The sequence below is a fragment of the Homo sapiens genome, chromosome 12 (assembly GCF_000001405.40).
Source record: "Homo sapiens chromosome 12, GRCh38.p14 Primary Assembly".
Lineage (NCBI taxonomy): Eukaryota > Metazoa > Chordata > Mammalia > Primates > Hominidae > Homo > Homo sapiens.
This window is the reverse complement of record NC_000012.12, coordinates 109,171,574-109,193,556: the sequence shown is the minus strand read 5'-3', so window position 1 is coordinate 109,193,556 and position 21,983 is coordinate 109,171,574. Positions and strand designations below refer to the sequence as shown.

The 21,983-nt window shown below is 44.9% G+C and overlaps 1 protein-coding gene across 18 annotated transcripts in view; it reads right to left on the bottom strand.

Moving 5' to 3' along the window:
• The window catches only part of ACACB (acetyl-CoA carboxylase beta), a 157,038-nt gene that overhangs the window by 74,670 nt on the left and 60,385 nt on the right, over nt 1-21,983 (bottom strand). For all 18 annotated transcript variants that reach the window (XR_007063072.1, XM_047428764.1, NM_001412734.1 and 15 more), the window contains 11 exons: nt 21,643-21,752; nt 21,201-21,282; nt 19,327-19,425; nt 17,517-17,626; nt 17,294-17,404; nt 14,260-14,469; nt 13,470-13,640; nt 7,817-7,978; nt 5,395-5,558; nt 1,794-1,944; nt 1,607-1,710 (listed from right to left, as the gene is read on the bottom strand). Coding sequence is in view for 17 of the 18 variants with exons in the window: in XM_047428764.1 (XP_047284720.1) it covers nt 1,607-1,710; nt 1,794-1,944; nt 5,395-5,558; nt 7,817-7,978; nt 13,470-13,640; nt 14,260-14,469; nt 17,294-17,404; nt 17,517-17,626; nt 19,327-19,425; nt 21,201-21,282; nt 21,643-21,752 (1,474 nt within the window). In the remaining variant the exon portion in view is untranslated. The remainder of the gene's footprint in view (nt 1-1,606; nt 1,711-1,793; nt 1,945-5,394; nt 5,559-7,816; nt 7,979-13,469; nt 13,641-14,259; nt 14,470-17,293; nt 17,405-17,516; nt 17,627-19,326; nt 19,426-21,200; nt 21,283-21,642; nt 21,753-21,983) is intronic.

The window sequence follows — 21,983 nt, the reverse complement described above, 5'->3', positions numbered from 1 at the left end:
GCATCAGCAAACCTGACTGCACTAAAAATGCTAAGCCTGGGCTGGGCGCAATGGCTCACGCCTGTAATCCCTGCACCTTGGGAGGCTGAGGCAGGCACATCACTTGAGGCCAAGAGTTCGAGACCAGCCTGGCCAACATGGCAAAACCCCATCTCTACTAAAAATACAAAAATTAGCCGGGCGTGGTGGCATGCAGCTGTCATCCCAGCTACTCGGGAGGCTGAGGCACAAGAATTGCTTGAATGCAGGAGGCGGAGGTTGCAGTGAGCTGAGATCACACCATTGCACTCCAGCCTGTGTGACAGAGCGAGACTATGTCTCAAAAAAAAAAAAAAAAAAGGCTAAATCTGATTAAAAGTCACGCACAGAACCTGAATCACCCTGAGCAGCCTGATATTGCTTAGAACTTAAGGAATCAGCACTTGCTGAGGGATTTGAAATCTTACAAAGGCTTTTCAGGAGCAAAATCCATAACGGTCTCTTGGAAAAATTTCACATATGGGATCCTGCCTTCGGCTTATGAAAGAAACCAGAGCAGGGACTGTGATTCTACTACCGTTCAAAAGCATAACCAAACACTAAAAACATTTCTTACCAGGCACAGTGGCTCACGCCTATAATCTCAGCACTTTCAGAGTTGAGGCAGGAGGATTGCTTGAGGCCATGAGTTTGAGACCAGCCTGGGGGGCAACATAGTGAGACCCCATCTATGCAAAAAGTTAAAAAAATTGGCCAGGCATGATGGCATGCACCGGTGGTCCCAACTACTTGGGAGGCTGAGGTGGGCAGATCACTGGAGCCCAGGAAGTCCAGGCTGCAGTGAGCTGTGATCATACCACTGCACTCTAGCCTGGGTGATAGCCTGGATGACAGAGCAAGACTCTGTCTCAAAAAAAAAAAAGTTTATCCTTTTATTTTCTTTTTGATAGTTCCTTTGCCTCTTGCAGCAGTTCTCAACTGGGGGTGATTATTCTACTCCTAACCCTGGGACATTGGGCAATGTCTGGAGATATATTTGATTGTCATGACTCAGAGGGAAGGGCTGCTCCTGGCATTTAGTGGGTAGAGGCCAGGAATGCTGCTAACATCCTATGATGCACGGGACAGGTTCCCAAACAAAAAAAAAGCATCCAGCACAAAATGTTAATGGTGCTGAGGCTGAGAAACCCCGGCCTATCCTAACAGAGATCGCCTGGTTGCTTTCCATTCTGGTCCATTTCATGATGACCCTCTGATTCTGGTGAGGGTCTGGGAATGCACCCGCTTGTAGAGATGACCTTTAAGCCGCTTTGCTTCCCAAATCCACCTCCTTGAACTCAGAACTCCTGACTATTATGATGTACCTTACACAAGTCAGCATGGATCCGTACACAACAGCCTGTTCACTGACTGCCACCCTGGCCTCGAGAATCCCATTCCCTAACCCACAGCCTCTTCAAGGGTAGCCTAGGTTGATCTGTAGAGGAATTTCCCAGAGGCAAGACCGGAGGAGAGACTCACCAATTGCCTGGTGACTAACTGGCCACACAAATAAAGGAGACAGATTCAGCCTCCTAAGCCGCTAACACATATCACAAAAGCAGAAGGGAACTGCCACAGCCCCTACCTTTCCAGGGAGTGTAAGAAATCTGTCATGCACGTTCTGAACATCGCATCGGCCACGTTCAAGGCCCCGCATACCACCCCAAGCATGATATCCGGTTTCTCCGCCTAGGAGAAAATGCACTTCAGTATCCTCAGGAAGCCGAGGTCTCGGCCATCCAGAGGGGAGACACAGGCAGCTCACTCCCTACCTGCACTTTCTCAGCAATGAGGTAGTCCAACCACCCGGTGTCGATGTCGTTGTTCTGGAAGCTCTCGGTCTCCAGGAGGTTAATGAGGTATTCCACGGTAGTCCTAAAGTCGCCTCGGATGGACAGTTCCTTCAAAGCCACCACCATGTTCCTTGAAGGGAAAGGCACATGGATCATTTTCCAAATTCATGCATACATCAACAGAGTTGCTGCAATGATGTGATTCAGAGAACTGGAAAAGCACAGGAGTGGCCGGGTGTGGTGGCTCACGCCTGTAATCCCAGCACTTTGGGAGGCTGAGGTAGGTGTATTACTTGAGGTCAGGAGTTCAAGACCAGCCTGGCCAACATGGCGAAACCCCATCTCTACCAAAAATACAAAACTTAGCTCAGCATGGTGGAGGACGCCTGTAATCTCAGCTACTCAGGAGGCTGAGGCAGGAGAATCACTTGAATCTGGGAGGCAGAGGTTGCAGGGAGCTGAGATCACACCACTGCACTCCAGGCTGGGCGACAGAGCAAGACTCTGTCTCCAAAAAAAAAAAAAAAGAAGAGTTAAGAGAGGGCTCTGACTGACACAGCCAGTGCATTGAATCAGCGCCAGGGTTTACTGCCTGGCTAATCTTGGCCAAGTGACTTGAGAACTCTGGGCCTCAGTTTCCTCATATGGAAAATGGGGAAATAGCCCTGACTTCATGAGGGTGTTCGAGAATTGAAATGAGACAATCCATGTAATGCACATGGTCACTGATCAATAAATGTTAACTACAATGAACGTGATTAGTTATTATTGTTATAATTATTGACTATAATAGTTAATGATTAGTAGAGAAAGAACCAGCCAGGCATGGTGGTTCATGCCTGTAATCCCACTGCTTTGGGAGTCTGAGGCGGGAGGATTGCTTGAGGCATGAGTTCAAGACCAGCCTGGGCAACATAATGAGACGCCATCTCTACAAAAATTTTAAAATCAGCCAAGCGTGATGGTATGTGACTGTAGTCCCAGCTACTCAGGAGGCTAAAGGGGGAGGATCGCTTGAGCCCAGGAGTTTGAGGCTGCAGTGAGCTATGATCACACCATTGCACTCCAGCCTGGGCAACACAGTGAGACGCTATCTCTTAAAAGAAGAAAAAAAAACAAAGGGAAAATCGGTCACCGCCTCTGTCTCTCCCTTGACCTATTCAAATCTCCTGTCCCCAGAGCTGGTGCCACCCTCTCACCTTCCACACAGCTGCTCTGCCTGGTGTGTGTGGGGTGCACCTGCAGATGGACGGCACTGTCACCCGGCTCAGGGGCCTGGTGGGCCCCATGGCTGCCTCTCCCCAACACACAGACTCCAAATCTCCAAGAGCACCAGTTCAAATAGCTAAACCTCAGGCCAGGTGCAGTGGCTCACGCCTGTAATCCCAACACTTTGTGAGGCCAAGGCGGGTGGATCACTTGAGGTCAGGAGTTCGAGACCAGCCTGACCAACATGGAGAAATCCCGTCTCTACTAAAAATACAAAACTAGCCGGGCGTGGTGGGACGCGCCTATAGTCCCAGCTACTCGGGAAGCTGAGCCCTATGAATTCATGGTGAGTGTGGGCAGGTATCTGAACACCTCTTCTTCTGGGAGAGAAAGCTTTCTTTTTTTCTTTTTTTTGTTTTTTTGAGACGGAGCTTCACTCTTGTTGCCCAGGCTGGAGTGAAATGGCACGATCTCAGCTCACTGCAACCTCCATCTCCCAGGTTCAAGCAATTCTCCTGCCTCAGCCTCCCGAGTAGCTGGGATTACAGATGGCCACCAGGATGCCCGGCTAATTTCAGTATTTTTAGTAGACACGGGGTTTCGTCATGTTGGCCAGGCTGGTCTTGAACTCCTGGCTTCAAGTGATCTGCCCGCCTTGGCCTCCCAAAGTGCTGGGATTACAGGCATGAGCCACTGTGCCTGGCCGAGTAAGCTTTCATGTCTTGCAGCATCCTGTGTGCTGTCAGCAGGTAACGGGGAAGGACACTGATGACCCCATTTTGGGGGTGAGAAAATGAAGACCCAGTAAGGTCATACAAGGGTATCCATAGGCCATGAAAAGTCAGCTGTGGGTCTGGAAGCTGGGTATGAGAGTTAACCCGCTGGTCTCACGGGTGAGTGACTTGTCCCAGTTTCCTTGGGGTGGTCCCCATTTTAGCACTGAGAAGTCCTTCAACCTGAGAAACCGGTGCCAGGAAAACGAGGACAGTTGATCCCCCTACTGGACTCTCACTAACAGCAATAAGAAAAGCTGGAATTTCTGCCTGTGAGTTCTGTTGAAGTTGCGGTTGGTCCACTCGTAGCATGTGACAAGCCACAGGTCACTTCACTCGGAGGGGTCTGGGCTGGCTGACCTGTCTTCCGCCTACTCCTATTAAGTAAGCCCTTTTTGCTGCAATCTTCCATAAACTTCAAGGATCTTGATTTTTCACTAAGCATGATTAAAATTAATTATTCTAAGCTGGCAAAGAAAACCTGATCATCAAAACTGCCCAACTCAATTTAATTCGTGGCTAAGTGCCCCACGTCAGATTTTAATGCTAAGGCCTTTGGGATTTTTTCACTCCGAAGGGCAGTTACCCACACAAAAACATTTAATTACAAAGTAAACTAGTTTTATACCTTTCCACACCCATGTCAAGCCAGGAGAAGTGTCGGAGATGGTGTGTCAGAATTTGGGGGTCCCTCTGTCAATGTGGGCTTCTCAGCTCTGCAGAAACTATCACAAGTATGGGAGGACTTGGCTGAGCTGGGGACATGGGGCTGCTGTCACAGGCCTCAGAGTGGTGGGTGGTTCACAGCAGGACACACTCCTTAAAATTTAGTCTTCGGTGTGAAATACAACCCATTAGGGAACTACTGATAAGGTTTAAATGTAAAGGAGTTTCCCTCCCCCTTTCTTCAGCTATGGTACTTAGCACCTTTTACACTTTGGGTATCTCCTAGAACAATCTTTAGATCTCCTTCAAGCTAGAACTCTTATAAGCTCAAGACCAAATGACCTTGGTGCACTTATTTTACTTTGTGGATCTTCAATAAAGGAAAAAAAGGGCAGGCTTTGATCTTGAACTTCAAGCACAGGGTATTTTAAATGGGGCCTACCCTGTGATTTACTTTTCTTGGTCTCCTGAAATGCTACTGTATCTGAAGCCCCAGGGGACCGTTTCATTTCTTAAAGGAAGGAATTGGGAAAAGGAGGAAGTGGGAAGGGAGGGAAAGAAGGAAGGAAGGAAAGAAGGAGGAAGAAAGGGAGGGGGAGGAAAGCAGAGAAGTCAGGAAAAGAAGGAAGGAGGGAGGAAGGGAGGAAAGAAGGGAAGGGGAGGAGGAAGGACGGGAGGAAGGAAGGGAGGGGAAGGGATGGAAGGGGAGGGGAGGGCAGAAGAGGGGAGGAAGGAAGGAAGAAAGGAAGGCAGGAAGGCAATGGAAGGGAAGGAAGGAAAAAAGGAGAAAGGCTGAGAGGGAGGGAAGAAGAAAGGAAGGGAGGAGAAAGAGGGAAGGAAGAGGGGAAGAAGGGAGAGAGGGAAGGAAGGAAGGAAGGAAGGAAGGAAGGAAGGAAGGAAGGAAGGAAGGAAGGAAGGAAGGAGATACTGACGAAATGGCCTCTTCCCGGTTCTCTCCCCAGGAGAAGCAGTGCCCAAATTGGGAATCCGCAAACTCGTGCAGGCCTCCAGTAGCGGCCACGCTGAAGTAACCCCACACGTTCTTGCTGCTCCGGAAATTCAGTTCCTGGACAGTCCCGGAGCTCGGCTTAAAACCCTGGAGTCCGGACAGAAAATGCAAAATGGAAGAAATCATTACTCCAGATATATTTTCATCAGAATTCAGTCCTGGGAAAACCCAAGAACCCCTACGCTGACCAAAAGCTTAGGGTAGTCAATAGAACACTGATATCGCTTGTTACAGGTATGGATGTATCTATTCATGGGTGTACCCATATGAGCTCCTCAATGCCTATAATTCTTATTTTTTTTAACTGTAAAAAAATAACGAAGTTGGTTCAGTCGCAGTGGCTCATGTCTGTAATCCCAGCACTTTGGGAGGCAGAGGTAGGAGGATCACTTGAGCCCAGGAGTTCAAAACCAGCCAGAGTAACATCAGGAGACCCCATCTCTACAAAAAATTAAAATATTAGCCAGGTGTGGTGGCACACACCTGTAGTCCCAGCTACTTGTGGGGCTGAGGCAGAAGGATCTCTTGAGCCCAGGAGATTAGGCTGCAGTGAGGCATGACTACGCCACTGCACTCCCGCCTGGGTGACAGAGCAAGAACCTGTCTCAAATAAATAAATAAATAAATAAATAAATAAATAAATAAATAAATAAAATAAGCGAGTTGGGACAGAGATGGTAGTGCAGGTGTTAAATGGGCGAACATTGATGATTGATGGAGCTGAGTGAAGGGACATTCTGACTTTATATGCTTGACATTTCGAAAATAAAAAGTTTAAATAGAAGTGAAGACAGGTTAGATTTCCAATTCTGGATAATGAAAACCTCTGCAGGTGAAGAAATCCAGGGCATCCTGGGCAGGGCCCTTGCTGCTAGGGAAGAGGCCATTTCGTTGGTATTTCCTTCCTTTCTTCTCTCCTTCCTTCCTCCTTCCCTCCCTCCTTCCCTCTCTCCCTTCGTCCTTCCTCACTCCCCTCTTCCCTCCTTCCTTTCCTACCCCTTCCTCCCTCCCTCCCTCCATCCCCCTTTTCCTCACCCCATCGGCCAGGCTGCTGCCAACACACACCTGATTCCCTCTGGGAGAACGGCCCGTCTCCCTCTAAGTACAATTTTGGTAAGAGTGGGTGGACATGGCACCTCTCACTGGGATTAGGGCTCCTGAACTAAGGGATGAAGGATTTGGGGAGAGGTATGTAGAAGTGAGAGATGGAGCGACCCAAGTGCCTGGGCTGTTACCATACCTGGTCCTCCATCCTCCTAGGAACCTGGGAACGAGCCATCATCCCTCCAAAAAATTCCCCTTTTGCTTGTCCACCAGAGTTGGTGTTTGGTTCACAGCCAAGAACCCTAAATGAATACAGCTACCCTAGCTTAAAATTATTTAATTAAAAGGGGTGGAGGTGTACCCTCTCTTACCCCCAGTTTCCTGAGGGTAATAATTAAGCAATTAAGTTGTAGTAGATTGATGAGTCCTGTGACAATCAACGGTCGGTATGCATGTAAACTGTAAGGGATGCCAGTTGGTTTGTTTTTTAAGACCCAAGTAAGGCCAAGTCACAAAGGGACTCTCTACAATGAGCCAGACTTCATACTGTAGCAAAAAGCACACGGGGCCAGAAATCCAAGGACTAGGGTTCTAAACCTGGCTGCTTGTCCCAAAGATAGGCATGGCTTTTGGAGTCCACTGATGGGTCTCAGCAGGTCCCAGGTGGGAGACAGGAAGCAAGTTACCCCAGGCTCTTTGCCTGTAATGTGGGGTGACGATGTCCAGCAGCAGTAGTGTCCTATAAGTGAGCAGTGAGACATGGGAAGGCTCGGCCCAGAGCCTGGCAATAATCCAAAAATCCAGTAAATCCAGCCAGGTGTGGTGGCTCATGCCTGTAATCCCAACACTTTGGGAGGCCGAGGCGGGTGGATCACTCAAGGTCAGGAGTTCCAGACCAGCCTGGCCAATATGGTGAAACCCCGTCTCTACTAAAAATACAAAAATTAGCCAGGCGTGGTGGCGGGCGCCTGTAATCCCAACTACTTGGGAGACTGAGGCAGGAGAATCGCTTGAACCTGGGAGGCAGAGGTTGTAGTGAGCCAAGATTGCGCCACTACACTCCAGCCTGGGTGACAGGGTGAGACTCCATCTCAAAAAAATAAAAATAAATAAAAATAAAAATCCAATAAATCCAATAATCAAATAAACCATGGGATGTCCCTTCCCATGCCTCAGTTTCCCCATTTGTAAACTGAGATGCCTGGATAGCTTGTGGGTGTCTCTTCCCAGGCTAACATCCAGGGTCCCCCACATGCTGGGAGATCTGAGATGGTGGAAACACAGGGGCCCCCATAACTTGCCTCGTCTGGGTTTTCGCTGGTGATTCTGGCGGCAATGACGTGGCCTCGGGCGAGGGGAGGGTTTGAGGGGGTTTCAAAAGAAATGGGAGTCACTCCCCATGGTGACTCTCCATACAGAAGCCGGATATCCTTCAGCCGGTGCAGTGGCACGCCCATGGCGATCTAAAATCAAGAGATCCAACCCACAGACTGTCAGTCCTACCAGAACACGGCCCCAAAACACCAGGCACAGTGGTAGATGCAACGGAGGTTCAGTCAATGATTTAGGATATACAGACACTACTCTATAGACAACATGGTGCTCTACTGTGGCCAGAGAGCCAAAGAAAGAAAAAGCCATAAGACATGAACTTTTCACAGTGGAGCAAATAGTACAGTTGGGAAAAGGAAAAATATTTATGAAACAACATCACACAACAAGAAAATACATGCATCAAGTAAAAGCACTAGACTTTTAGAGCTAGGGAAGGTGAGAAGCAACCATGTTGGCTGCAGAGTTAAAGGAAGTTTTTGTAAAGGGCACCCGAAGGGGAAACTGGACATGAAGAATGGGTAAAAAGTAGACAATTATGGAACCAGCTTAACCAAATGATCAGATTTAACAGGCTTCATGATGAGATGTATTAAGGACACAACACCTGTGTAGTATTCTGCCAAAATGTGTAGCAGGAATCGAACCAGGAAGAAACAATCAGAGAAATCCAATGAGGGACATTCTGCCTGAGCTCCTCAAAAATGCCAGTGTCCATGCCTGTAATCCCAGAACTTTGGGAGGCTGAAGCAGGCAGATCGCTTGAGCCTAGGAGTTGGAGACCAGCCTGGGCAACATAATGAGACCCGATCTCTACAGAAAAAATTAAAAAAACATTAGCCAGGCATGGTGACTTGCACCTGTGGTCCCAGCTACTCAGGAGGCTGAGGTGGGAGGATCACTTGAGCCTGGGAGGTTGAATCTGTAGTGAGTCGTGATTGCACCACTGCATTCCAGCCTGAGTGACAGAGCGAGACTCCATCACCAAAAAAAAAAAAAAAAATTTTAATGCCAATGTCAAGGATGAAAAAAGACTACGAAATGCTTTCAGATTAAAGAGATTAAAGACACATGAAAATAAAATGGAATGTGTCACCCTGGGTTGGGTTGGATCCTGGATTTAAGAGACAAAAAACAGCTACAAAAAGACATTATTGGAACAACAGGGAAAATATTTAATGTGAATGGTATATATTAGATATAGATGTGGTATCAATGCTCTATTTCTCAAGTGTCATAATTGCACTAGGGCATTGGACCGGAATGCTCTTGTTGTAGGAGGCCTTTAGAATGAAGTATTCAGAGGCCATATGTTACGAAGGTTCACTCAAACCATTGCTCAAAAGATTGAGCCCACGGCCGGGCACAGTGGTGCATACCTGTAATCCCAGCATTTTGGGAGGCCGAGGTGGGCTGATCAGTTGAGGTCAGGAGTTCGAGACCAGCCTGGCCAACATGGTGAAGCCCCGTCTCTACTAAAAATATAAAAATTAGCTGGGTGTGGTGGCAGGCACCTATAATCCCAGCTACTCGGGAGGCTGAGGCAGGAGAATCGCTTGAACCTGGGAGGTGGAGGTTGCAGTGAGCCAAGATCGCACCACTGCACTCCAGCCTGGGTGAAAGGGCGAGACTCCATCTCAAAGAAAAAAAAAAAAGATTGAGCCCCCTAAAATTATACAAACAGACAGAAGAGAGACAAAGCAAATGTGGCAACTGATGGATCTATATGCAGGGCGTATGGGTATTAATTGTATCATTCTTGCAACTTTTTTGAAATCTTTCAAACTGAAAAAAAAATAAAGAAAACTTTTTAAAAAATTCTGCTGAAGGAAGAAAAAGAGGAAGGGAGGGAGACCAGCCTGGGCAACGTAATGAGACCCCATTATGGGAAGAAAGAAGGAAGGAAGGAAGAAAACAATGAAAACAATTTAGAGAAGAAATAAAGGACATCCAAATTGGAAAGGAAGAAGTCCAATTATCCTTGTTTACAGATGATATAATCTTAAAATTGGATAAACCTAAAGAATCCACCAAAAAAACAATTCGAATTGACAAATTCAGTAAATCTACAGGATACAAAATCAACATATAAAAATCAGTAGCATTTCTATATGCCAAGAGCGAATGGTCTGGAAAAAAAAATCAAGAAAGTAATTCCATTTATGATAGCTACAAACAAAATAAAATCCCTGGAATAAACTTAACCAAAGAAGTGAAAGGTCTCTATAATAAAAAGCATAAAACACTGATGTGAGAAATTGAAGAGGACACACAAAAATGGAAAGATATTCCATGTTCATGGTTTGGAAGAATCAGTATTGTTAAAATGGCTATATTACCCAAAGCAATCTATAGATTCAGTGCAATCCCTACCAAAATACCAATGACATTCTTCACAGAAATAGAAAAAAAAATCCTAAAGTTTATATGGAAACACAAAAGACCCAGAATAGCCAATACCATCCTGAAAAAAAAGAACAAACACTGGAGGAATTGAATTACCTGACTATGAGTTATATTACAGAGCTACAGTAACCAAAACAGGGTGGTACTGACATAAAAACAAACACATAGATCAATGGGACAGAATAGAGAATCCAGAAACAAATCCATACATCTACAGTGAACTGATTTTTGACAGACTTGCGAAGAACATGCAATGGGGAAAAAGTCTCTTCGATAAATGGTGCTGGGAAAACTGGATATCCATATGCAGAATCATAAATGAAGAATCAAATTCTTCAAATCAAAATAGACTAAAGACTTAAATCTAAGACCTGAAATTATGAAACTACTAGAAGAAAACATTGGGGGAACTCTCAGGAACATCAGTCTGGGCAAAAATTTATTGAGTAATACCCCAAAGGCACAGACAACTAAAGCAAAAAAAGGACAAATGGGATCACATCAAGTTAAGAAACTTCTGCACAGCAAAGGAAACAATCAACAAAGGGAAGAGACAATCCACAGCATGGGAGAAAACATTTGTAAACTAGCCACCTGACGAGGGATTAATAACCAGAATACATAAGAAGCTCAAGGATGAGCATGGTGACTCATGCCTGTAACACCAGCTCTTTGGGAGGCTGAGGTGGGAGGGCTGCTTGAACCCAAGAGTTTGAGACCAGCCTAGACAACATAGTGAGACCTTATCTGTACAAAAAATTTTAAAAAGTTAGCTGGGCATGGTGTTGCACACTTGTAGTCTCAGCTACTCAGGAGGTTGATGTGGGAGAATCGCTTGAGCCCAGGAGGTCAAGACTGCAGTGAGCCATGATCATGCCACTGCATTCCTGCCTGGGCAACAGAGCAAGGCCCTGGCTCAAAAACAAAAAAGAAGCTAAAACAACTGAGTAGGAAAAAAGTCTCATGAATCCAATTAAAAACAGACAAAAGATCTGAATAGACATTTCCCAAAAGAAGACATACGAATGGCAAACAGGCATAGGAAAAGGCACCCAACATCTCTGATCATCAGAGAAATGCAAATCAAAACCACAATGAGACATTGTCTCACTCCAGTTAAAATGGCTTTTATCCAAAAGACAGGCAATAAGAAATACTAGCAGCTGGGCGCGGTGGCTCAAGCTTGTAATCCCAGCACTTTGGGAGGCTGAGGTGGGTAGATCACGAGGTCAGGAGATCAAGACTATCCTGGCTAACACGGTGAAACCCCATCTCTACTAAATACACAAAAAATTAGCTGGGCGTCGTGGCACACGCCTGTAGTCCCAGCTACTCAGGAGGCTGAGGCAGGAGAATTGTTCGAACCGTGAGGCAGAGGTTGCTGTGAGCCAAGATCGCACCACTGTACTCCAGCCTGGGCAACAGAGCAAGACTCACTCTCAAAAAAAAAAAAAAAAAAAAAAGGAAAGGAAAAAGAAAACAGAAAAAGAAGTGCTAGCAAGGACGTGGAGAAAAGGGACCCCTCATACACTGTTGGTAGGACTGAAAATTAGTACAACCACTATGGAGGACAATATGGAGGTTCCTTAAAAAACTAAAAGTAGAACTACCAATCTAGCAATCCTACTGCTAAATATATACTCAAAAGAAAGGAAATCAGTATATCGAAGAGTATCTGTACTCCCATGTTTATTGTAGCACTATTCACAATAGCCAAGATTTGGAATCAACCTAAATGTCCATCAACAGATGATTGGATAAAGAAAATGTGGTACAGGCCAGGTGCAGTGGCTCATGCCTGTAATCCTAGCACTTTGGGAAGTTGAGGTGGGCAGATCATCTGAGGTCAGGAGTTTGAGACCAGCCTGGCCAATATGGTGAAACCCCATCTCTACTAAAAATGCAAAAATTAGCTGGGCATAGTAGTGTGCACCTGTAATCCCAACTACTAGGGAGGCTGAGGCAGGATAATTGCTTGAACCCAAGAGGTGGAGGTTGCAGTGAGCCGAGATTGCACCACTACACTCCAGCCTGGGCAACAGAGCGAGACTGCATCTCAAAAAAAAAAAAAAAAGAAAAGAAAAAGGAAAAAGAAAATGTGGTACATACACACAATGGAGTACTATTCAGACATAAAAAAGAATGAGACCATGATTTGCAACAACGTGGATGGAACTGGAGAACATTATGTTAAATGAAATAAACCAGGCAGAGAAAAACAAACTTTGCATGTTCTCACTCATTTGTGGGAGCTAAAAATTAAAACAATGGAACTCACAGACACAGAGAGTAGAATGATGGTTACCAGAGGCTGGAAAGGAAGAGGTAGGGGCATGGAAAGCGAGGATGATTAATGGGCGCAAAAATGTAGTGATTAAGAGAATGAATACGGCCTGCTATTTGATATAGTACAACAGGGTGACTACAGTCAACAATAATTTATTGTACATTTTAAAATTAACTAAAAGAGTATAATTGGAATATTCATAACACCATAACACAAAGAAAGGATAAACGCTGGAGGGGGATGGATACCCATTTACCCTGATGTGATTATTACACATTGTATGCCTGGGAGGCGGAGGCTGCAGTGAGCCGAGATCGCGCCACTGCACTCCAGCCTGGGCAACAGAGCAAGACTCCGTCTCAAAAAAACAAAAACAAAAACAAAAATCTCTTGCACCCTATAAATATACAGACTTACTATATACCCATCAAAATTAAAAATAAAAAAAAAATTTAGAGTTCCCTTTAACCCAAGAGGTTACAACTCTGGATCACATATTCTTAACAGGGATGATATTGCCTCTGAAGAGACAAATATTTGTTCTTGGGAGTGAAGAAAATCTCACTCTTTTCATGAATAAAGCACAGATATATCTACAATATCCAAACAGGTATGTGGTATATTTGTGATATTAAAATTTCACAAGACAGGGATTAGGATATAAAATGTGTCCAAAGGATCCTTGCAGGGAGTGATAATGATAACAAGGTTAAGAAACATTTCTCTAGGTCTATGAATGTCCTGAAATTGTATAAAAGATATTTTCCCAGGGAGAACTATAGCTTTTACAGATTTCTCAAAGTGCTCTTTGGCCAGTCATTCCCCTGGGACAGTCGGCCAAGAGATGGGCGGGATGGACTAATGGGAGCAGCACATGGACCCCTGACCCAGGGCAGAGAAGTCCCAGGGCCCCAAGCCCATTTTCTCACCTGTAGCTGGGCGGCCGGCAGATTAACATCAGCAATCATTTCTGTGCAGGGATGTTCCACCTGCAAGCGAGGATTCAGCTCCAAGAAGTGGAAGCTGCCATCCTGACTATAGAGGTATTCCACTGTCCCTGCACTCACATAGCCCACGGTCTTGGCCAGGCGGATGGCACACTGTGAAGAAACAGAAAGAGGCCAAGGGGGTTCCAGAGGTCTTTTCAGGGAACTGTAAATGGTGACTATCAGTTCCTTCACCAAATGCAGACTGAGCACCTGCTACATGTGAAATATTTTGGGACTGGCCAGGTGTGGTGGCTCATGCCTATCACCCTAGCGCTTAAGGAGGCCAAGGCGGGAGGATCACTTGAGGCCAGAAGTTCAAGGCCAGCCTGGGCAACATAGCAAGACTCTGTCTCTACAAAAATTTTTTTTTAAAATTAGCCAGACATGGTGACAGGTTCCTGTAGTCCCAGCTACTTGGGAGGCTGAGGTGGGAGGATCACTTGAGCCCAGGAGTTACAGGCTGCTGTGAACTATCATCGCACCACTGCACTCCAGCGTGGGCAACACAGTGAGACTCTGTCTCAAAAAAGAAAAGAAATATTTGGGGAGTTCACAGACCGGCTAATCCAATAAACCTGTGTGATGCTGAAATCACCTCTGGAATGGGCCCTCATCCCTCTTGTTAGGCACCCATGCCACCATTCAGCCACACTGACCGTAGAAAGTTCTTCCTGACTCTGAGCTGAGACGGCTCTCTCTGAAGCTGCCCCCTGGGCTCTGAGAAGTGTACCTGCTCCATGAACTCGAATATGGCCAGCGGGGCGATGGTGGCCGGTGCTTCCTCAACGATCTTCTGATGCCGCCGCTGGATGGAGCAGTCGCGACCAAACAGAGACACAGCATTCCCATACTGGTCAGCGAGGATCTGAACTTCCAGGTGACGGGCGTGCTGGGCCAGCTTCATGAGAAAGATGGGCGAGCCTGGGATCTCACTCTGTACCTGTCGGGGGAAGCAGAGCAGCCTGATCTTCATGGGGAAACCAGCTCTGGAAGCTTCTGGAAGTTCTCAGGAGAGAACATAAAACAAACGCAGTGATGTGTTTAGGGTACTCATCCAGGACTCTGCTGATCTTTTACTTTTGTTGTCTCACAGACATAATATTCTGTGGAGTCCCGACTCCACAGTAACGAGGAGAAAGGGGCCCCAGGTGGGGGACGGCCCCAGGTGGGGAAGAACAATGAACAACTGCTCGAGAGATGGCTAATCACAAACAACCCCAGGACGTAATGACCTCACAGCCCCTCCTCCAGCACCACCCTATAAAACCTCCCACCAGCCCTTGCCTCTTTGCAGACAGATCCTTCTCTGCTGTGCTGCCTGTTGCAATCTTGCAACATATTTTCATACTTCCTCCAATAAATCTGCCTTTCTTTACCTACAGCTGTCTTGGTAAATTCCTTTACCAGCTGCACCGCCAGCCCAATAGTCACTACCTGCAACATATTCTCTTTTTTAAGTCAAACTCTGTGAAATGGTAAAATCTCCCACAGTCACATCCCCTAAAGATATTGCACTGTTAAAGAGTTTGGTGTCCAAACTGGCTTTCTTCTATGCATATAGCAACACATACAGAGAAAGTTTCTTTGAATGAAAATGGGACCAAAACACACTAATCTGTGGTTGTCTTTTTCTTCCACTTACTGCACTTTCTCAGCTAGCTCTCCCGGGTGGAATCTAAGGACAAACTTACTTCATCCTGTTAAGAGCTGAAAGGCATTGTTTTATAGGCATGTCTTCTAGAGATTCTTAAAGACAATGTGAAAAGTATTCACGTGCAATGATTTCTAAGACAAATTAAGTTTAACAAATTTGCAATAATGTATAGGATGAAGTCATGCAAAAAATAATGAAACAACTGTATGAATGTCTATGTAAAAGTATATACAGTGACAGTGCTGAAAAGAGCCCCCCACCATCGGCAGCTGCTAATAGTGGTTACATCTGAGAAAGGAGAGTTGGAAGGTAATGGGGAAAAGGGTTTTTCCTTTTTTATTCTTAACACATGGCTGACTTGACTGACTCTCTACATTAAGAACATATTCATAGTGCACTCATATAAGTAAAATAAAAAAGCTTGGGCATCTGTGTGCACATGAGGGCCTGGGGTATGTGGGAACTCTCTATTCTTTCCGCTCCATTTTGCTGTGACCCTAAAACTGCTCTAATAAATAAAGTCTATTTTTTAAAAAGCAAAAAAGCTTTAAAATCTGTATGACCCCTAATGCAATATGGAATCCAGGACTGAATCCTGCAACAGGAAAGGGACATTGGTGCAAAAACAGATGAAATTCAATCTAGTCTGGAGTTTACCAAACAGAAAAGTGCCCATGTTAATCTCTTAGTTGCAAAGTTATATGAAAAATGTTAACGAGTGAAACCGGGCGAAGGATAGATGTGAACTTTCTGTACTGCTGCTGCAACTTCCCTTTTAATATCAATTCTTCCCCCCACCCAAATCCCCAAAACACTTGTACACCCCAACAGCGATACAATGGTAGTGAAACTGCTGCTTTATACAACATTCACATATTATACCAAGAGTGGTATAATTAGTAAAACTCCTAGAAAGCAATGTACTGATATGTGTTTCAAAGTGCATGTAAAGTGTGTGCTATTTAACTAAGTCTTTCTCCCCAAGTCTTTATCCAAGAAAATAATTAAGAAGAAAAAAGAGCTAAGTGTTATTTATAGTACTAAATATCACATTATACTGTGGTATTATTATTCATAATAACAAAGTAGAAATAAGCTAAACATTTAACAAAAAAGGAAAGGTTTCATAAATAAGGCTATTGCCACACATAAAATATTGAGTAATCATCAAAATAATTGCCAAGGCAGGAATAACATAATAATATTCATGATCTACAATTTGGAATGTGTTAAATGCAGAGCAAAATTTCGTGTAGACTGAATACAGCTCTTTAAAATATACATATGAAGAAGGTCTAGAAGAAAAGCTAGAAATATTAAAATAGCTTTAAGAATGGGAAGATTGTCAGTATAAATGTTTTCTAAACATTGCTGATAACGGACATAAGGTTTTAAAAGAGGAAAACTAGCTACCAGTAAGTAAATGTGCAATTCGTTCCTACAGTTAAAATTGATCAGGCAGGGCGCAGCGGATCACACCTGTAATCCCAGCACTTTGGGAGGCCAGGGCGGGTGGATCACTCAAGGCCAAGAGTTTGAGACCAGCCCAGCCAACATGGTGAAACTCTGTCTCTACTAAAAAGACAAAAATGAGCTGCGTGTGGTGGCACACGCCTGTAATCCCAGCTACTCAGGAGGCTGAGGCACTAGAATTGTTTGAACCTGGAAGGCAGAGGTTGCAGTGAGCTGAGATTGTGCCACTGCACTCCAGCCTGGGTGACAGAGTGAACTCTGTCTCAAAAATAAAATAAAATAGACCATCTAGAAACATTAGAAATAACAAGAGTACTAATATTTATAAAATATCCCATTCCTCTATAGGCCAATATAGTCACAAACAGCTATTTTGATCCTGTATCTCTGAAATCATTTCTAGATACACTGATTTATAGACTTGAACTACCTAAAAGATTCTGTCAAGATCGACACAAAACCATGGGCTTTTCTGAGTAAAAATGTACGCGTTTGTTGCAAAATACGATACAACGATACATCCAGCTCCTACAAATGTCTTCTTGACTGTCACAGAATAATGCTAAGAGAAATAATCTGGCAGCCCACAAACAATTCCCAAAGACAGATGCGAAAAGACACAGCAAGAACTGCTCACTTGTCTGAAAAGGATCGGGAAGTCCTCCGCACTCTCAGCCTTCCGGATTCCCTTCCCTCCGCCACCTTCAGAAGCTTTGATCATCAATGGAAAACCAATTCTTTCTGCTGCCTGGGTGCAAAGGACAAACAGACCTCTTTAGAGGTTAGCCAGTTGCCAACTGCTACCAGGACAGAGGCAGTTCGGTTCTGGCTCCCCTGGCCCCCACAGGCTCTGCATTTACCTCCAAGCCCTCATCTACGTCTTTCACGCAACCCTTGTCATAAACATCTTCTGGGACACTGATTCTTTTTCCCTGCTGCAGATCATCTTCTGTCCACTCCACTGTCAGGCCTGGAGAGTCACAAAGAAACCTGATTCCTCCCAAATCCAGGAGAAACACACACAACCCAGAAACCACAGCGCCTCTCCCTGCTGACATAGTGCTAGACCTGGGCTTCTGGACCAGCGGAATACAGACACTCCCTTCAGCTTCTCACAATGGCTTTTCATTTCCTCAAGAACTAACCCAACCTTGAATGAGAAATCAAGCTTAAGAAACTAACTGCCAGGCGTGGTGGCTCATGCTTATAATCCCAGCACTTTGGGAGGCTGAGGTGGGGGGAATCGCTTGAACCCAGGACTTTAAGACCAACCCTGGCAACATAGTGAGACCTTGTCTTTACAAAAAAAATTTTATAATTAGCCAGGCATGGTGGCATGGGCCTGTAGTCCCAGCTACTCGGGAGGCTGATACAGGAGGATCACTTGAGCTCAGGAGGTCAAGACTGCTGTGAGCTATGATCATGCCACTACAGTTTGGCCTGGGTGACAGAGTGAGACCCTGTCTCGAAAACAAAACAACAAAAAAGGAAAGAAACTCAGACTGAGTCGACCAACAACAACCATATTAATCTAAATCCAAAAAAAAATCCCAATTCTACCTTATGGAGTCATTTATATGTGAATAATTATTTCCCAACACCATGCAAAGATTTAACAAATGAAAGCAAATTTTCCATCCCAAATTTAAAATTCAACTTTTGGGGGGGGAAAAAAAAACAAATTTAATAGGAAACTTTTGAGACGGTCCTATTTATTTTTTAATTTGTCCTAGAAACTCCACTGTTAGGAATTTATCCTAAGAAAATTATTAAAATGCACACATAAATTTAGCTGTAAGATTATCAAAGCTCCATTCCTTTGAATATTTTTTAAATTAGAAAAAATAAATTGGAAACAACCTAAATTGTTTAACCATGAGGACTGTTAAGTAAATTATGATACATCCATAAGATATAATCCTATGCAGGCATCTTAAATGGTGTAAAGTGTATTTTTTACATAGAAAGATATTCATTAGTGAGGAAAAAAAAAGTCACAAACTAGGAAATGTAAGATGGGTTGTTGTTTCCTTTTAAAGACAGGGTCTCATCACCCAGGCTGGAGTGCAGTGGTGCCACCATAGTTCACTGTAACCTCGACCTCCTAGGCTCAAGCCACCCTCCTGCCTCAGCCTCCTCAGTAGTTGGGACTACAGGTATGCACCACCATAACCAGTTAATTTTTTTTTTTTTTACTTTTTCTGGAGATGGGGTCTTGCTATGTTGCCCAGGCTGGTCTTGAACTCCTGGCTTCAAGTGATCCTCCTCCCTCAGCCTCTGAAAGCACTGGGTTGGGGGGTTGGGTTACAGACATGAGCCACTGGCCAAGATCTGTCTTTTTTTTTTTTTTTTCCCAAAGAATATGGCCAGAAAAAGGTTGGAAAGGTAGATACCTACAATGTAATAAATGTTCAACACTGGGTCATAGGATTATGAATGATTTCCATTTCTTTTTTGTACTTCTTGTATTTTCTAAATTGCCTACAATAAATTATACCACTTGTTTACTAATTTAAAATTTTAAAATATTTTGCTAATGACTAAAAAATAAAAGTAAGTAACATTTGTAATGGAAAGAATTGTTACAAGCATACTTCTGTCACCCTGACCGTTCACATTATCAAGACTGGGCTGAGAAGCTCCCCCAGAGGGAAGCTCGGGGTCCCTTACCGCTTCCACTCCAGGGCAGGGTTGGGACCTGTAGCGTCTGGGCGACAACGGTGGAGGCGATCTTATCTCCTAAGGCCCACATGGCCTCACTGGGAGGGCCTGAGGAATCGGGGACAAGAAGGGAAGCAGAATCCGGTCAGTCACAAGACCCTCGAGGCTGAAGGCCGACCGAGTGCACGGTGGTGGGGCCAGGTAAGGAGCAGATGACAGAGAAAATTCTCTGGTCCCAGCTCTCAAGGAGCTTAACCTCATGTCAGGGAAGAAAAATAATCTGTTAGTCTGCTATTGCATCAGTCAACTTTCAACGTATGTGGATTGTAAACCTGTTGTGAGTTACAACCTAGGCTACAGTGGCATATACAAAATTCACTTTGGAGGGAAGGCAGAAAGCTAGATCAAAGAGGTAAGCTAGGAGCTCAAAGAGCTGGACCATAGGTTAGCAAACTCTTTCTATAAAGAGCCAGATGGGAAATACTTTCAGTTGTGCGAGCCTGCAGGTCTCTGTCACAATGACTCAACTTTGCCAGTGTTGGGTGAAAGCAGCCATAGGCAATACATAAACGAATAAGCACGACCATGTTTTAATAAAACTTTATTTACAAAGGCAAGCCATAGGCTGGATTTGGCCTATGAGCTGTAGTTTGTCCAGTGGGCTGGATCATCAACCTCCAGAGGAATTAAGACTGATAATGAGAGTCCTGGGTAACTGTCAGACAGGACAGATGCCCACATGTACTCAGAGTCCACAGACAAAGAAAACGTCAATGGGCATGGGACTCCCGGCTGTACCTCAGGTGAATATCATGTATTGATCCGCACTGAGTTGCTTCACATTTGGGCAAGACTGTTTTCAGACCCACCGGTAAGGAGAAGCAGGGATTTATTACATGATAGTAAATGATTCCCCTAAACTACACAAGGACATGGACATAATTACATGTGCAAATTTGTTATATAGGTAAACTTATGTCACAGGGGTTTGTGGTACAGATTATTTCATCACCCAGGTACCAAGCCTAGTATCCAATAGTTATTTTTTCTGCTTTTCTCCCTCCTCTCGCCTTTCACCCTCAAGTAGTGTCTGCTGTTCCCTCTTTGTGTCCATATGTTCTCATCATTTAGCTCCCACTTATAAGTGAGAACATTTAATATTTGGTTTTCTGTTCCTGTGTTAGTTTGCTAAGGATAACGGCCTCCAGCTCCATCCATGTTCCCACAAAAGACATAATCTCAGTATTTTTGATGGCTGCATAGTATTCCATGGTGTATATGTACCACATTTTCTTTATCCAATCTGTTATTGATGGGCATTTAGGTTGACTCCATGCCTTTGCTACTGTGAATAGTGCTGCAATAAACATTCGTGTTCATGCGTCTTTATGGTCGAATGATTTTAAATTCCTCTGGGTATATACCCAGTAACAGGATTGCTGGGTTAAACGGTAGTTCTATTTTTGGCTCTTTGAGGAATTGCCTCACTGTTTTCCACAATGGGTGAACTAGTTTACACTCCCACCAACAGTGCATAAGCGTTCCCTTTTCTCCACAATCTCAGAATCTGTCAAGAAATGGTATCTCACTCTGGTTTTGACTTGCCTTTCTCTAATGATCAGTGATGTTGAGCTTTTTTTCATATGCTTGTTGGCTGCCTGTGTGTCTTCCTTTGAAAAGCGGGCAGCTCCTAATTCCATGAGTTGGCAGATTAGCTATGTGCCCTTCCACCCTGGGACTCACTCACTCCTCACGACAGAAGTGTGAGGTGGGAAATCAAACGGACCTCCGCTTTACAGGACAGGAGGAGAAAGAGGGTCAGACCCAGCAGAGTGTCCCAGCAATACCCCAATTCCCATGTATCTGATGGGGACACACTCTACCTAAGAAAGCAACTCCATTCTTGCACAGCAGCTCCGGAAGTTTAGGGTTTTCTGAAGCATGGCCCCAGCCAGCCCACACCGCCTGCAAACACAGAAAGGGGTGAGCAACAATCTTCCTTCAAGAATATGCCTCCCAGCCAGGTGCAGTAACTCACGCCTATAACCCCAGCAGTTTGGGAGGCCAAGGCAGGAGGATCACTTGAGCCCAGGAGTTCGAGACCAGCCTGGCCAACATGGCGAGATCCTGTCTATAAAATTTTTTTTTAAAAACAGAATGTGCTTCGCCTCACTTGAACACTCTTTTCTGTGTTACATCAGCCCAGGAATTTGGAGCCTTGTGGGATCTGGACCCTCCACCCCTTGTGAACTGTGGAATTGAACTAGAACCTAGGGGCATCATCCCACACTCAGGGGCCACACTTGGGCACCCCAGTCCATCTACCTGCACGGGGATTCTCTTGGCAATGTCCACAATCAGCTCCACGTTGGCATAGTTGTTGTTATTGGGCCCTCCTGGGACGGGGACGTAATGATCCGCCATCTTGATGTACTCTGAAATTAAATGGGAGGGAGAAGGAAGGAACTGCTGACAGACTGACATCAATGGCAGAACATTACAAGATGTGACTATGTACAGCCATGGAAAGCAGAACCATGCAGATTTCTATGGTAACAATGGACAAACATGTATGAAAATGTAAAGAGAAGGCCAGGCGTGGTGGCTCACGCCTGTAATCCCAGCACTTTGGGAGGCCGAGGCAGGCAGATGGCCTGAGGCCAGGA